The sequence below is a fragment of the Homo sapiens genome, chromosome X, assembly GCF_000001405.40.
Source record: "Homo sapiens chromosome X, GRCh38.p14 Primary Assembly".
Classification (NCBI taxonomy): Eukaryota; Metazoa; Chordata; class Mammalia; order Primates; family Hominidae; genus Homo; species Homo sapiens.
The window spans coordinates 72,097,611-72,114,072 of NC_000023.11; the positions used below are offsets into that span (position 1 = coordinate 72,097,611).

Genomic DNA, 16,462 nt, shown 5'->3' on the forward strand with positions numbered 1-16,462 from the left:
TCTTGCAGACCCACCCTTCGGAAGCTATTATCTGCTTGACAGTCTGCTGAGACCTCTTGTCTTTCTTCCTCTCTCAATTAAACTCTAAGGACTGAGGTTCCCATCTGCCCTGGAGCAAACACATCTCTTGTTATACCTGTTTTCCAGAAGCTGGAGAGCTTTTTTCCTTTCTCCAACCGCTATAGTTCTCTTTTCAAAACACTTAAACCCTCTTAGTGATTTTTAACTGCAGGTGGCAATTAAATTGGTTTCCCAAACATGGACCAAACCTTCTCTCCAGTGCCTCCTGCATTTACCCTGCCTCCACCCACCCTTGAACCAGGAAAGAAAAAAACACACAGACACAATTTACTGAGTTATTGTCCTCTCTTCTGTGTAGCCCTCTCTTAACATGAATGTGGCAAAATTGCTAGGAAGAAATGGTAGGATGTATTTCCACTAGGTAGGTCTCTTTCTCCACAGCGGCCATCTTTGATTATTGTGTCTGGAATCGAGCAGTACCCAACCAACATGGTGCCCTTCCTCAGGCTCTTCCTTGGCGGGAAGACAGAGGCAGCAGTTGAGCAAGGGGAGCCAACAGAAGTGGAATGGCTCCTCATTCATAGACCCTTGTGGGTTTTGAAGGAGAGAGGAAAGAGAAGGTTTGGAAAGAATAGGACAGAAAGGGAGGAATAAGAAAGAGGAAGTTGGCCGGGCGCGGTGGCTCACGCCTGTAATCCCAGCACTTTGGGAAGCCGAGACGGGTGGATCACGAGGTCAGGAGACCGAGACCATCCTGGCTAACACGGTGAAACCCCGTCTCTACTAAAAATACAAAAAAATTAGCCGGGCGTGGTGGCGGGCGCCTGTAGTCCCAGCTACTCAGCTGGCTGAGGCAGGAGAATGGCGTGAACCCGGGAGACGGAGCTTGCAGTGAGCGAAGATTGCGCCACTGCACCCCAGCCTGGGTGACAGAGCAAGACTCCGTCTCAAAAAAAAAAAAAAAAGAAAGAGAGAAGAAGTTGAAAGGGGTGTTTACAAGTGGAGGAATAGAAATAAAGCTATGAATTGAATAATAGAAACTCTGATTTTTAAAATTTTATTTTATTTATTTTTTATTTTAATAGTTTTATGTTACGTAAACCATTATATGTTATTTTTAAATATATGAAAATAAATATATTTAATGGTTTGTTATTGTAAAATGACACGTTTGTTGTTAAAATTTCAAATAGTACTGGAGAGTTTCAAGTGAAACATACATGTCAAAATCATCTAGAATAACAGTTACTTGTGTGTCCTTGCAAACTTATTCCGTGCATATATAAGCATCTGTGTGCTTTTGATACACAAATGAGATCATACAATACATACTGGCCCATTCCTTGCCCATTTTTTTCAACTTACCAATAACTCTGCAGTTTTCTAGTTTCTACTCAAAGAGATATCCTTCATTCTTCTTAATGGCTGCATATCATCCCCTTGTGTAGATGCACCATGATGTGTGGAACCCATCCCTTGTTAATGGACATTTAGGTAAAATAGAAAGTCTAGCACCACACTATCCAATAGAAATATAATGTGGGCCACAAATGCCAGCCACTTATGGAATTTTGAATTTTGTCTTAGTAGCTACATTCCCCTCCCCAGCTGATTTGAAATGCCACCTTTATTATATCCTAAATGCTCATATATACATAAGTTTGTTTTGAACTATTTTATTTCATTCATCTATTTGCCAATTTTGGCACCAGTATCCCCTTGTGTAGGAATTTTTTTTTTTTTTTTTTTTTTGAGACGGAGTCTCACTCTGTCACCCAGGCTGGAGTGCAGTGGTGCATTCTCGGCTCACTGCAACCTCTGCCTCCCGGGTTCAAGCAATTCTCCTGCCTCAGCCTCCTGAGTAGCTGGGATTACAGGCCCCCACCACCACACCTGGCTAATTTTTTATTTGTATTTTTAGTAGAGATGGGATTTCACCATATTGGTCAGGCTGGTCTCAAACTCCTGACCGCATGATCCACCCACCTCAGCCTCCCAAAGTGCTGGGATTGCAGGCGTGAGCCGCCACGCCGGCCACCAGTATCCCCATTTCTAGTAGCCACATTTAAAAAGTAAAAAGAAAAAGGTGAAATTAATTTTAATAATATATTTAATTTACTCCAATATATCAAAAATAGTGTCTTACAATGTAATCAAATATTAAAAATTATTAATGGGATACTTTACATTCTTTGTTTCATATTCAGTCTTTGAAATCTGGTGTATGTTTTACACATCCAGCACATTTCAGTTCAGACTGCCAATTTCAAGAGCTTAAGAGCCACATGTGGCTTCTGGCTACCGTATTGAACAGTGGAAGTTGAGCAGGCAGAGAGATTCAAAATGTCACCTGAGCTGTGTGTCTCTGTGGTTGGTAGGAATGGATTAGAAGGTCAGACATTGAGGACAAAATCCTCAACTTCACCACTCAAGGCAACTCATGAAGCTTCTCAGGGTCTTGGTTTGTGGACTCCAATAAATTCAACGTATGCTGGTTGAGTGCAGACCAGAACAGCCGAGCCAAGTACAGTCAGGCCTCGCTTCACAATGGGGATACGCTACGAGAGAAATGCGTCATTAGGTGATTTCCTCATTGTGCAAACATCATAGAGTGTACTTACACAGACCTAGATAGTGTAGCCTGCTGCACACCTAGGCTATATGGTACAGCCTATGGCTCCAAGGCTACAAACCCATACAGCACGTGACTGTGCTGAATACTACAGGCAGTTGTAACACGATGGTACTTATCTGTGTATCTAAACATAACTAAACCTAGAAAAGATAGAGCAAAACTATGGTATCATCTAATGGGGCCACTGTCATATATGCAGTTGTCATATATGCAGTCCATTAAGCAGGGGTCCTCAACCCCTGGGCCATGGACCCGTACCAGTCCATGACCTGTTAAGAACTGGGTCACACAGCAGGAGGTGAGTGGCAGGCGGGCGAGCATTACCGCCTGAGCTCCACCTCCTGTCAGATCAGCAGCGGCATTAGATTCTCATAGGAGCAGGAACCCTACTGTGAGCTGTGCATGTGAGGGATCTCAATTACTTGCTCCTTATAAGAATCTAACTAATGCCTGATGATCTGAGGTGGAACAGTTTCATCCTGAATCCATGCCCCCACCCAAGTCCGTGGAGAAATTGTCTTCCACAAAACCAGTCCCTAGTGCCAAAAAGGTTGGGGACTGCTGTGTTAACTTACATGCCATTATGTGGCATATTGCTGTACAAATGGCCCTGGCCTTTCCACAAGCCGTAGCATGGCCACAGAGATATAGAAAGAGCCTGAGTGCTCACGAGGTGATTATCTGAGGTCTGTCACAGGTTCCCCTTTCTTTGCTTTCAGAGGCATCTCTGTTCACAGCGTCTCATCACACTCAAAACCCAATGCCTGTTTCCTTTTTTTTTTTTTTTTCAAAAGCAGAGTGTGTGGCAACGGGGCTCTGAGGAAATCCCTACCACTGTGGTTGGGGAGGGTGTGGTGTGAAGAACCCACATTGTGGCTTACTCAACTGTGAGATCTTAACTCTGTGGCCCCAGAGCCACTGTGCTCCTGGGCGGCAGTGGTGACAGCCATGGCGGCACAGCTTAGAGCCTGGAATGGTAAGCATGGGCTCAATTGCATCCTGCAAGAAGACTCGCATCAGGGTTTGAGCTCGGGGTTTGGTGTCTGGGTGGGTGTCGGCAGAATGGGAGGAGGCAGGTGGCTGGAGAGCACTGGGGACAGGTGGAGCAGCCAGTTTTGCCCTGGCCTGAGTCAGGCCAGGTTTGGGAAGCATTTGGACTCCACAGCAGGCTTGGGTGCTCGGCCCCTGGATTGACAGGAAGCTGAGAAATGTGATTATCTCCCACGGGACAACATGCTGTCCCCAAACAAAGGTGGCGGTCGCATGCCCACTGCCTAAGTTCTAAACGAGCCCTCCCCCAGCCTTTTCTCCCCAAGCTGGCCAGCTACAAGACCCAACCCCATGGTGGAGCCGAGGGTTCAGAGCAGCTAGGCACAGGAGAAAGGAATTTCCTCCTGTGGCTGCCTGGGAGGGAGCTCTTTTTCATCGGCCCCACCTGCCAGCTTCCCCATTACCAGGCCGAGGAGTGGAACACCAGCATTCCTTTTCCCTTCCTACTGCTGCCTCCTCCAGCCCTGCAGCCTAGAAACTCTCAGTGGTATCAGACTCCTGAAGCACCAGGCAACAGCCCAGCTTCTTTCTGCTTGGTCACACAAGCTGTGGCCTCCCAAATCATGCCTGGGCTAGGAAGACAGAGCAGTGTCACAGGAAATCTAAGTCCCATGCACATGGTGATCTCACCCCAGCCTCTACTGCTTCAGCCCCCTCCTGAGGCTGGCCAAAGCGTAGAAGCCCTGCTGATTAAGCCTCTTCCCTGAATGTTGGCAGCCTAGGCTCTGCACTAACTTAGCACCTAGTGCAGAGCCTGTCACGTGCATGGGAGCTACCCAGTAGCATTCTCTTGGACGGATAAATGCATGGGTGAATTAACATGCTTTGGATATTGTCTTTGTTGTACCTCCTCAGGGCTCCCAAAGCCTTAAAACTAGAACTTGTCACCTCATCACTTTAGAACCTTCTATTTGCAGGCATCTATGCACCTGCTGATCTCTCCCACTAAGAAAAGGTGACAAGAGAAACCAGCCAGGGGATTCCTGAGGGTAGTCTAGGAGTCTCGAAGCCTTGCAGTGGTCTTCCAGGCTGAATCATCCTACCTCGAGAACCAAGAGCATGAGAGTTGGCATCAGACAGACTTAGTTCAAGTCTCAACCCTGCTATTTCCTGTATATATAATCTTAGTCAAAAGTCATTTCACCACTCTTAAGATTTAGTACTCTACTCTGTAAAATGGGGCTAAAAATACCTACCCAGCATTATGGTGAGGAATAAATGAGAAAATGTGTTAGGTTGAATCCTATGAAACTGTCCAAAGCATTTAAATGCCAGCAAATTTGTATGGTTCAACCTAATATATAAAGTAGCCTTTATAAACTATAAAGTATAATAAATAGCCCTATATAAGTATTCATTATTCTTAACAGATATAATTTGTAAGTCACAGAATATTGTTTCTTGCAGTATTAGTAATCCCTTTCATCAGAATACAGGTCAAACTAACAGAAGAAGCCACTTATCTGACAATCGTGGGCTGCAGGCATTTCCTGGAGCATTTTGGCCTGGGAAATAGGGAGCAGGTATTTTTAGGAAACTAGACTGGTTCATGGAAAGCAATGGAGGTGAACACCAGGGTGACTCGTGACAGCTCCTACCTGGAAATGATTAACCCGCAAAAGCACAGTAGGAGTTGGCACATTCTCTTGCCCCAGATGGGAGTACCCACTCCCTAGCTCCAGTAGCAAAGCAGAGGCTGCCTAGGACAAACATTCCTTCCCGGGGGACAGAGCCAAAGGGTCCTAGGCCAGCAGACATCTGGAGGAAACTAAAAACAGCTTCTTGCCAACTTTTCCCTCCCTAGTGGCAGCTATCAAGCCCAGGTAGCTCCTCTTGACCTAGCAAAGTCCCACGCCTGGGAAAGCTTGGATTTGGAACTGATAGCTGCAGTGGCCACAGTGGAGGGAGTGGGGGAAGGTTCTCACCATATTATGCATCGCTCCCTCAATCCCAATCCTAGATGTAAAGGTCACTGGGATTTCAGGCCAGAGGGGACTGGGAAGAGTCCAGAGAAGTGCCCACAGATTTGCTCTGCCTCCGTTGCTGGCACCCCAGGCCAAGGACTACTGAAGCACTAAACAAACAGTTATAAACTTCCTAAGCAGTGTTTCTCACCGAGGGCATCATGGCCCTTGTGGGTAAGACAATTCTTCATTGTACAGGACAGTCCCATGCATTGCAGAACATTTAGAATCTGGTAGCAAGGTAAGAGTAGAGCTGGATGAGTCCCAGGTCCAAGGTTCAGGAGAAGGATCCAAGCAGAGTAGTGGCCTCTTCACAGCTCCAAATGGCACCTTGGTGAAGGCATCTTCAACTAGATGCTCTACAACTAGCTTGATGGCTGTGCACTACCCCATGAGCCAACTGACTGGGTAATCTTGGTTGGGCCATCAGAAACATGTAAATTCACTCAGACAGGGCCTGGGACTTGAGAGGAGAAAAGCCAGAGAAGATACCCTCCCAGGGCTGCCCATGGGCAGGCAGTGCTCTGCACAGCTCTTAGCCCCAAGCCCTGGCCAGCCTGTGGCAGAAGGTCCATGTGGAGAGTGAGGCCGACTTGACCCAGTGCCCGAGTACCAGTTTCCAGCATCAGCCAGGATGGATGTGGGATGCGTGACATTCATTCAGGGAAGTGTGAATATCCAATTTGAGCTACAATGTGGACTCCCCATAGCACAGAAGTGCTTGACCAGGAGTTCATTTACTTAAATGAGAAAAAAATTATAACTTTGTCTTCATTAACCTGTAATTGAAAGTTAGCTTTCCTTCCATTATGAACACAGGCCACACATCACAGTGGCATTAGCCTGTGACTTTGTCTCGAACAGGAGCCACAGATGTTTTTATATCTCATTACTGCTGCTGCAGGTGCCTTAAATTACTGTCCCATTCACGACTACTTCAAAATCATGGCAGTCACTGGACCCGCCACTAGCTCATGTTACTTAATGTGTTAATAACGAAATGCATATTACTATGTTGCAAATTTTAAGACATATATAGATAACTTTAAATGCAATTGACTTCCTTTGTAATCCTATGTATTTTATTTTGTGCTTGTAGAAACATTCCAAGTAGAGGCCCATAAGTTTCATTAGGCTCCTGATGGAGTCCAAGCCATTAAACTGTTAAGAAATCCTGGATTAGAGGGTTGTCAGGAAATCGGCCTCATTTGAGTCAACAAGGAAGGCCTTGAGTATGAAGATAAGGAGCATGGGCATGTGTTCTGCTCACATTGAGGGGATGCTAAAGGTTTCTGAGCAGGAGGTTGCCCAAGGTGACGCTGAGGTCTCCAGCCTGGGATTCATTAACAGAAATACAGAAGTCAGGAGGAAGAGTGGATTAGGATAGCAGGAGAGGTTCTATTTTAAGTATATTAAATTTGAGACTAAAAAAGTGGGTATCCAGGTGAAGATGTCCACCAGGCTCTGAGAAATGCAAGTGGGCAGACTGGGAGAGTGGCTGTGGCAACAGGAAAGAGTTGAGGATCATCCTCTGAGATGATCTTGGGGCGTTTGGAGTGATTGTGCTCAACAAGGAAGAAAAGGCAGGGAGAGAAAAGAGGCCAAGGCAGGGAATTGTCATAGGCTGGCATCTCCAAGAAACAGATTTGGAGATATTGATTTGCCTGCAAAAGGTTTGTTGGGAACTGCCTTCTAGAACAGCACCTGTGAGGGAGCAGGATCGGTCAGAGACAGGAGTTCACCTGCAGTGTGGGCACACTGGAGACCTCAGTTGATAACATGGGAAGCTCTGGAGCTGAGATGCTCTTCAGATGGCCCCAGTTGAGGCCAGGCAGCTGGGCCTTTCTTCCCCCACCTCCCACCCCACCCCATCTATTAACGAGATCTTGGATGCAGGCTGCCCCCCAGGAAAGGGGTTGTTACCTTGGAGAAGAGACTCAACCGTGAGCCATGGACCAACACCTCTGGTAGCTGGGGGACTGAGTGCCTTGGTCCTGAATGGGGGATCAAGCAGCTCAAGGTCTGGTGTTCTAGTCACTCAGGAAATGCAACTGGCTCCCTCCCACCCTGCAGGCCTCTGGGCAAGTCCCTCCCTGCAGCCCAAAGCCAGGTATAGGAGTCCCAGGGACAGGGAGTCAGGACCTAAAAGGAATTTGAGTCCTTGATGCCTGTAATTCAGAGTCCTCAGTCTTTCCCCCAACCTCTCTCACTTGGGGCTAAGATAAGTGGGATGAGGTAGGCGGAAGTTGGAGGGAACCGTGCCGTTGTCATCTTCTGCACAGTTTGTTTATAAGAGGTTACCAAACTAAGCAAATCAGCCACCATGGAAACAGTCTCTGTGGCTTTCACATCCCTCCCTTCCTTCTGGGGTGACCTGCATCTCAAAGAGGGATGTCACCACAGTTGAGGTTACAGGTCTGCTCACAAGGCCTGTGAGCTACCCAGGAAATGCAATACTGTTATAGCCACCAGGTGAAAGAAGGTTGGGCTTCATTTTTAAAGAGAGAAATATAAAAACTTGACTTTCGATTTTGACGTTCATGTCCTTACGCCAAAAAATCAAACCAAATAGCAACTGAACTGACTACGTGTAATTTCCCCCAAACCTTTGAAATTTACAGTAGCTCTAGGAAACTTGAATCCATGAGGCCGGGCGCGGTGGCTCACGCCTGTAATCCCAGCACTTTGGGAGGCTGAGGCGGGCAGATCATGAGGTCAGGAGATCGAGACCATCCTGGCTAGCACAGTGAAACCCCGTCTCTACTAAAAATACAAAACATTAGCCGGGCGAGGTGGCGGGTGCCTGTAGTCCCAGCTACTCAGGAGGCTGAGGCAGGAGAATGGCGTGAACCCCGGGGGGGCAGAGCCTGCAGTGAGCCGAGATCGCGCCACTGCACTCCAGCCTGGGCGACAGCAAGACTCTGTCTAAAAAAAAAAAAGAAACTTGAATTCATTCATTCATTCCCTCATTACACACACACACACACACACACATACACACACAAAGGTTCTGAGTTTGCAAGATGATAGGCTGAAAGACCAAGTGTGGCCTGAAGTTCAGGTTTTTTTGTTCTGCATGGTTTAAAAAACGAATTTTCCACACTCAGAAGTGCAGCTTAAAAATAAATAAACAAATACCATCTCATGCCAGTTAGAATGGCGATCATTAAAAAGTCAGGAAACAACAGATGCTGGGGAGGATGTGGAGAAATAGGAATGCATTTACACTGTTGGTGGGAGTGTAAATTAGTTCAACCATTGTGGAAGACAGTGTGGCGATTCCTCAGGGATCTAGAACTAGAAATACCATTTGACCCAGCCATCCCATTACTGGGTATATACCCAGAGGATTATAAATCATGCTACTATAAAGACACACACACAGATATGTTTATTGTGGCACTATTCACAATAGCAGACTTGAAACCAACCCAAATATCCATCAATGATAGACTGGATTAAGAAAATGTGGCACATACACACTATGGAATACTGTGCAGCCATAAAAACAAATGAGTTCATGTCCTTTGCAGGGACATGGATGAGGCTGGAAATCATCATTCTCAGCAAACTATCACAAGGACAGAAAACCAAACACTGCATGTTCTCACACATAGGTGGGAGTTGAACAACGAGAACACATGGACACAGGAAGGGGGAACATCACACACCGGGGCTTGTCGGGGGGTGGGGGCTGGGGGAGGGATAGCATTAGGAGAAATACCTAATGTAAATGACGAGTTGATGGGTGCAGCAAACCAACATGGCACATGTGTACCTATGTAACAAACCTGCACATTGCACACATGTACCCTAGAACTCAGAGTATAATAAAAAATAAATAAATAAAATTTTTTAAAAGGCCGGGCGCGGTGGCTCATGCCTGTAATCCTAGCACTTTGGGAGGCCGAGGTGGGTGGATCACGAGGTCAGGAGATGGAGACCATCCTGGCTAACACGGTGAAACCCCGTCTCTACTAAAAATACAAAAAAATTAAATAAATAAATAAATAAATAAACAATAAATAAATAATGTAAGTTAGTTCCCAATGCACTTTCTTAAAAAATCTTAAGATCTGGTCCCAATGGATGAATCAGCTAATACTAAGGGGTTTGGCCCCCTTGTGGGTAGGCAGGGAGTTCCACGGTTCACGGCAGGGCCCATTTAGCCTGCTTCTCTCTTTGGTGTTACCTGCCTGGGCCCTGCCAGTGTTTGTGCTCATGAGCCCTTGATTTGGCTAAGCTGGGTGCTGAGGTTACACAATGATAGATGATGTCATTGCTCTGCTCTGCTGTCTCCTCTGCCCTCAGGGCTCACCATCTCGTGGGGAGGACGACTCATGTGCACCAACAGACAGAAGACAGAGTCCCGGGGGGGTGTTGGAGGAAGGAACAACCCATGAGGAAAAGCGAAGTTGGGACAATGTCATAGAGACTCTAGGAGCAAGGGTAGACTTCTACTAGGTGGAAAAGAGGGCAGGGGTGGGAGAACGGCATTCTAGAGCAAAGGAACAATTCAGCTGATGAATGGTGCTCCTAAAGGAAGTGGCGCATGTGAAGCGGAGAAGAGGCAGGGGCCAGAATGGGAAGACCCTGTCAGCCAGCCTGAGGAACTGGCATTTTATCCTGATGGTTTTGAGGCAGAGGGAAGAGCTGATATGACTTGTGTGTGTCTAGAAGATGACTCTCTTGGCCCCGTGGAGGCTGGATCGTAAGAGAGCAAGATCTGAGGGAGGAAGAGCAGCAGGTAGGAGGTTCTTGTAATTGTTTAGGTGAGAAGTAACAGGGCTTTGATTTGGAGAGGTGCCAGTGAGTGGGAGAAGGAACAGATTTGAGAGGGAGTTAGGAGGTCAGATTGACAGGTCTTGGTGATTCCTCAAGGTGGAAAGTAAAAACCGGGACCCAGTGGCACAGTGGTGTGCAGTGTTATCCTAGCCATGGCAGTAGCTGCCCTTTGTTAAGGGTTCTGGAGCATTTGCAGTACTTGCCCTTACATTAACTCACCCCAGCCTCAAAGTCAAAGACACCAAACTTCTGCCTGTCCACAGGCTTCGTGCAGCACTTCCTAGGTGCCAGGCTGAAGTGTTGCCTTCACATTCACTCACTGCGTCATCACAACTTCCCTAGGAAGTAGTTACTATTCTTACGTCATTTTACAGATGAGGAAACAGAGGCCCATAGAGGCAACGTGAATCTCCCAGGGTCACACAGCTGATAAGCGACAGAGCCAGGATTTGAACCCACATCGTCTGCTCCAGAGCCTTCGCTCTGCTGCCTGGGGGCGGGACCAGAAGAGTGGTCACTGAGCACAGAGACCTTCTGCACACAGAGCAGCCTGAGCAAACTGCAGCAGGCTAGTAGTGTGTGCATCCCACACATTTCTCCAGTGAGCATCTAGACGTGAAATCCCGAGGCCTTGGATGGGCTTTCTAGTTCCAGAAATTTGAGGACATGCGGGTCCGGCAGGGAAGAAGGAAACGCTGAGCCCAGGTTGCCGGCACTGTAGGCAGTGAAGGAGAGCAGTCAGGTCACACCACACAGTTCCCTTCCCCGCCCCAGACCATAGACCCTCCAACAGCTTTCAGGTATGTCGAGCATCAAACCCCAATTCCTGACCGCAGCCCATAAGACTCTGAAGTAATATGGCCCCTGACCACCTCTGTGACATCTTTTCTTGCCATGCTCCCCTCATACATCGCACATACACTGGCTCCTTTCAGTCATCCTTTTCCACCCCAGGGCCTTTGCATTTGCTGTTTCCCCTGCCAAGTGTGCTCTTTTTCTCTTTGTGCGGCTGGTTCCTTCTTATCATTCAGATCTCCTCTGCTTTAGTGTGAACTCCGTGAGGGCATGGACTGTGTCTGTCCTGTTCACTGTTGTATTCCCCAAGCTTATGGGCCCAGTACACAGAAAGGGCTAAGTATTTGTTGAATGAATGAGCTATTTTGGTACCTGCTGTGTGTCAGGCACTTTACAAACATTAATTCGTTTAATCTTCAAAACAACCCTGTGAATTAAGTGTGATTGTTATTCCCATTTTATAGATGAGGCACTGGGAGGTGACTTGACTTGCCCAAGGTCACAGGGCTTAGGAAGAAACAGAGCTGGAACTGGAACTTGACTCTTGACTTATGCTGGCCCCCCTAAACACATTGCTCCAAAGTGTGCATTCAGGCAGGTTTTGTTGTTGTTTGTTTGTTTGTTTGGGAGACAGAGTCTCATACTGTCGCCTGGGATTGAGTGCAATGGCGCGATCTCGGCTCACTGCAACCTCCGCCTCCCAGGTTCAAGCCATTCTCCTGCCTCAGCCTCCCAAGAAGCTGGGATTACAGGTGGCACCACCATGCCTGGCTAATTTTTGTATTTTTAGTAGAGACGGGGTTTCACTATGTTGGCCAGGCTGGTCTCGAACTCCTGACCTCATGATCCGCCCGCCTCAGCCTCCCAAAGTGCTGGGATTACAGGCATGAGCCACCTCACCTGGCCCAGGCAGGGTCTTCATTGAGAAAGGCTGGGGCTCTGTCCTTCCGTGTGCTGCTTTATATGGCTAACTTAAACTTCCCCAGAAAGGAATTGAAGCAATTCTGGTGGCCTCTCAGCTGGGGTTGTTAAACACCCTGGTTGTTCCACCTTTTCATTCTTATTTATTAAAAACTCCACAGAGTTAGAGAAGTTCTTCAGAAAGCAAAGCAGAGTTCTCTGCTCAATGAGAAAGTCACCCCATTCCAGTAGGAGATGCAGCCAAAACCCACAGGACGGGGCATCACCCCAAGGATGCCGGGAACAGAGGGGTGAAGTGCTTTTCTCTGGTCCCATATTTTCTCCACCAGCTTCTTAGTTGCCTAGATCCTTGCTGCTCAAAGTGAGGTATGAAGACCAGCAGCAGCAGCAGCATCACCTACGAGAGTGTTAAGAAATACAGAATCTCAGCACACACACCCCCGCTCCACCTACTGCGACAGAACCCGCGTTTTAACAACATCCCCAGGGGATTTGGTGATTCATGTGCAAAAAAAGTTTGAGAAGCACTGGCCTAGAAGACAGCCTCTGAGAATGACCTCCTCATCACCAGACTGGGAGCTCCCTAAGGACAGGGACTGTATCTCGTTGTGTCCTCAAGGTCCCCTGCACAGTACCAGCCACCTAGTAGGTACTCAGTCGTGTTTCTTGAATGAGTAAATTTATGAAGGAATCTAGTCACATACAGCCAGCTTAGGCACAGATAGAATCATTTACTATGCATGTTTGCAACCCTTTCCCCTGCCGTGACCCCCTCCAGCAAGCTTTCCAACAAAGAAACCCAACCCCAGCCCCGGGACACTCCTTCTAGCCTGTGGTCTCAAGAGGGAGGCCCAGCAACAGGGAGTTGGTTTCTGTAGGCCCTAGACTTTGGACAGGACGCTGAACGGCTTGTCCCCTCCTTGTTTCTTCCATCCTCCCACCTAAAAAAAAAAAAAAAAAAAAAAAAAAAACCCAAAGAGGAACTTCTAAGGTGCCCACACTGTTTATTGCTCTCTTTACTGAGGCCATGGCCTCCTCAGCACACACGGCCACCACAGTCCCTTTCCCACATCTCAAATGGCCCCCTGGAAATTCGAGTTCCTCCCAAAGTGCAGAAGGTGCTGTCAGGTGCTGGCTACCAAGCCCTTGCTGCATGTGGAACCAAAATAAACCCCTGTTGATATGGAAACGGGTTGAATTATTTTAAGAAAAAAAAATTGCTCCTTCATTAAATCGCGTTGTTATGGCAACCGGAATTAGGAAAGTAACTTGGCCATGGAGGTTATGTGCAATGTTTTGGGACTGAGAATTTTCAGAATAGTGGAAAACAGTTTGTGAGTGCATCTCCCTGCCCCGGACTCTGCCTGGAAGAGGAGGATGAAGGCCAGTTGAGCATCTGGCCGGCCACCCTACCTGGGTGGACTTGTGCAGGGTGGCTGGGGGCTGCTCTCAGGGGCCGAGCCTGCAGTGATGCAGGCTGAGGCCATAAAGGTTTATGTGGGAAAGACAGCTAACTGGGCGGAGGATGTCCGGACCAGAGGTCCACCACTGTCTGGGTGTGCAAGTAGTCCTCCACTCTGCTGCAAAAAGAGTGTCCCAAATTCCTGGAATTAAAGAGAGGTGGGAGGCTCAAATAATAATAATAGCTACTCTTTATTGCGTCTTTACTGTGAGCCAGGCACTGCACTAAGAAGTACTGGACACACTCATAGCAACCCAGTGAGACATTATTATTATCTCAGTTTTGCAAATATAGACTGAGTCTTAGCTCAGTGAAGAGACTTGTCCAAAGTCCCACAGTAAGTAAGTATAAGGTAAATTAAAGAATTGCAGCCATAGCAGCAGCAGCAGTAGCAGTTCTGTAGTAGCATTTTAGCAGCAGGGAGGGGCTACACAACCCCTTGACATACTCACACTCAGTCCTCCTCAGAAGCAGGAGTGGATACTTGCAAAGACAGTAGGTTGAAGTGAGATTCACTCATTTATTCATTCAACATGCATTTAATGACCACTTGCCATGCGCCAAGCACTGTGTATATGCTGGTGACCAAGACAGACAAGATCCTTGACCTCAGGGAGCTTACAGTCCAGGATAAGGCAAACAGACAGTCATCAATGAAACCACTTACCAAGAAAAGCTTCAAGTAGTGGTAAGTGCTATGAAGAAAAGTAAGCAGAGTGATGTGGCTAGGGTGACTAGGATCAGGACACCATAGCAAGATCAGGGGTCTATCTGAAGAGGTGATATTTGAGCAGAGACCCAAATGAAGGAAGGAAGCAAGCCATGTGAAAATCAGGGAAAAGAGTGTTACAGGCAGAGAGAACAGCCAGTTCAAAGGTCTTGAAGTAGGAATGGACCTGGCATGTTTGAGGAGCAGCAAAAAGGCCCCTGTGATAAGAAAAGAGCCAGCAAGCAGGGAGAGGCAGAGGCCGGATCATTCAGGCCTTATAGATCATGGTAAGGACTTTGCATTTTAGTCCTGTGTGATGAGAAGCAATGGGAAGATGTGCTGGGGAGCAACGGGATGTGATTTACTTCTTTCTTTACTAATAGCTTTCTTGAGATATAACTCACATACCATGCAATTCACCTATTTAATGCATACAATTCAGTGACTCTTAGAATATTCCCAGATATGCACAACTGTCACCATTTAATTCCAGACCATTTTTATTATGCCAAAAAGGAGACCTTTTTCTCATTAGCAGTCACTTTCCACTTTTGCCAACCCCTACCTCTCCCCAGCCACTAGTGACCACTAATCAACTTTCTGTTTTGATGGATTTGCCTAATCTGGACATATCATAGAAATGGAGTCATATAATGTGTGGCCTTTTGTTGCTGGCTTCTTTCACTTAGTGTAATGTTTACAAGGTTCATCCATGTTGTAGCCTGGATCAGAACTTCATTCCTTTTTTTTTCTTTGAGATGCAGTCTCGTTCTGTTACCCAGGCTGGAGTGCAGAGGTGCGATCTTGGCTTACTGCAACTTCCACCTCCTGGGTTCAAGCGATTCTCCTGCCTCAGCCTCCAAAGTAGCTGGGATTACAGGTGCGCACCACCACATCCAGCTAATTTTTGTATTTTTAATAGAGACAGCATTTCACTCTGTTGGCCAGGCTGGTCTCAAACTCCTGACCTCAAGCGATCCTCCCACCTCAGCCTCCCAAAGTTCTGGGATTACAGGCATGAGCTACCATGCCCAAACTTTATTTGTCTTTTTATTATTGAGTTATAAGAGATCTTTATTATATTCTAGATACAAGTTCCTTAACAGATACATGATTGGCAAATATTTTCTCCATTTCTGTGGGCTGCCTTTTCATTTTCTTGATGGTGGCCTTTGAAGTGCTAAAGTTTTCAACTTTGATGTAAGTTCAGTTTATTTTTTCTTTTGTTGTCTGTGCTTTTGGTGTCATATCTAAGAATCCATTGCCTCATCCCTGAGTGACTTTTGAGGATGATTCCTCTGGTTGCTGTGTGGGAAACAGATGGGAGGTGGGGTTGCTCAGTAGCTGGCAAGAGGAGGGGTGCCACCTGCCGTGAGGGGTGCTCTGTACACAGCTTGCCGACTCCCCTGTGGACCAAATGCTGAACCCTGCTGTTGTGCTAGACCCCTATTGACTTCAGTAGGGATGGCACCAGGTTCAAGAGGCCAAAGAGGAGACCCATAGCCAGCAAACGAGACATAGGGTTTTATTAGAGGGAACTTACTTACAGAGATGATCCAGTGGGAGCAGGCTGGACAGGAGAACCACAACGTCTTGCAAAAAGCATGCAGTTTATATGGCACCTTCACTTAGCACCCTCCCCCAGCAACCGCTATGTGACAAACCTCATTTCTTAAGTTATTGCTGTCAGGTGCGCCTACCATACACCTGCAAAGTGGCCTGGACCCAGGCACAGACATCAACAGGCTGGTTTCGTTTTCCTACATTTCTCTTATGCCAGTCCCATTTTCTGCTCCTCTCCTGGTTTGAACCTGATTGGGCAATTCAGACATTTGGAAAGAGGCTCAGAGCCAGGTCAGAAGGTGATCTGGATGGTCTCTTGGTGCCTGGGGAGGAGCCCCCGTCTGGCTCAGTGTGGGGCCTGAGAAGAGGTCCTTCCTCTTTCTGACCCTCAGTTTCCACATCTCTTCTGTATGAGGGGCTGGACTAGGGCCTCTGACTGCCCACAGGCTTCTGAGTCTTCATTTTCCCATTCTCATAGGGAGGCTGAACATGGCTGGCAGAAAATAGTTATTGTGGTAACGAGAGAGAGTTGAAGTAAACCACAAAACAATGTTTAC

The 16,462-nt window shown here is 47.2% G+C and overlaps 1 protein-coding gene across 12 annotated transcripts in view, besides 1 other annotated feature; it reads left to right on the plus strand.

Annotated features, from left to right (window-relative positions):
- The window catches only part of NHSL2 (NHS like 2), a 242,442-nt gene that overhangs the window by 186,766 nt on the left and 39,214 nt on the right, over nucleotides 1-16,462 (plus strand). The window lies entirely within an intron of this gene.
- Nucleotides 3,507-3,626: a silencer, noted in NCBI's record as "silent region_20901". NCBI's record gives its function as "represses an Ori minimal core promoter by ATAC-STARR-seq in GM12878 lymphoblastoid cells {active_cell/tissue: GM12878}" and the evidence as "EXISTENCE:reporter gene assay evidence [ECO:0000049][PMID:35858748]".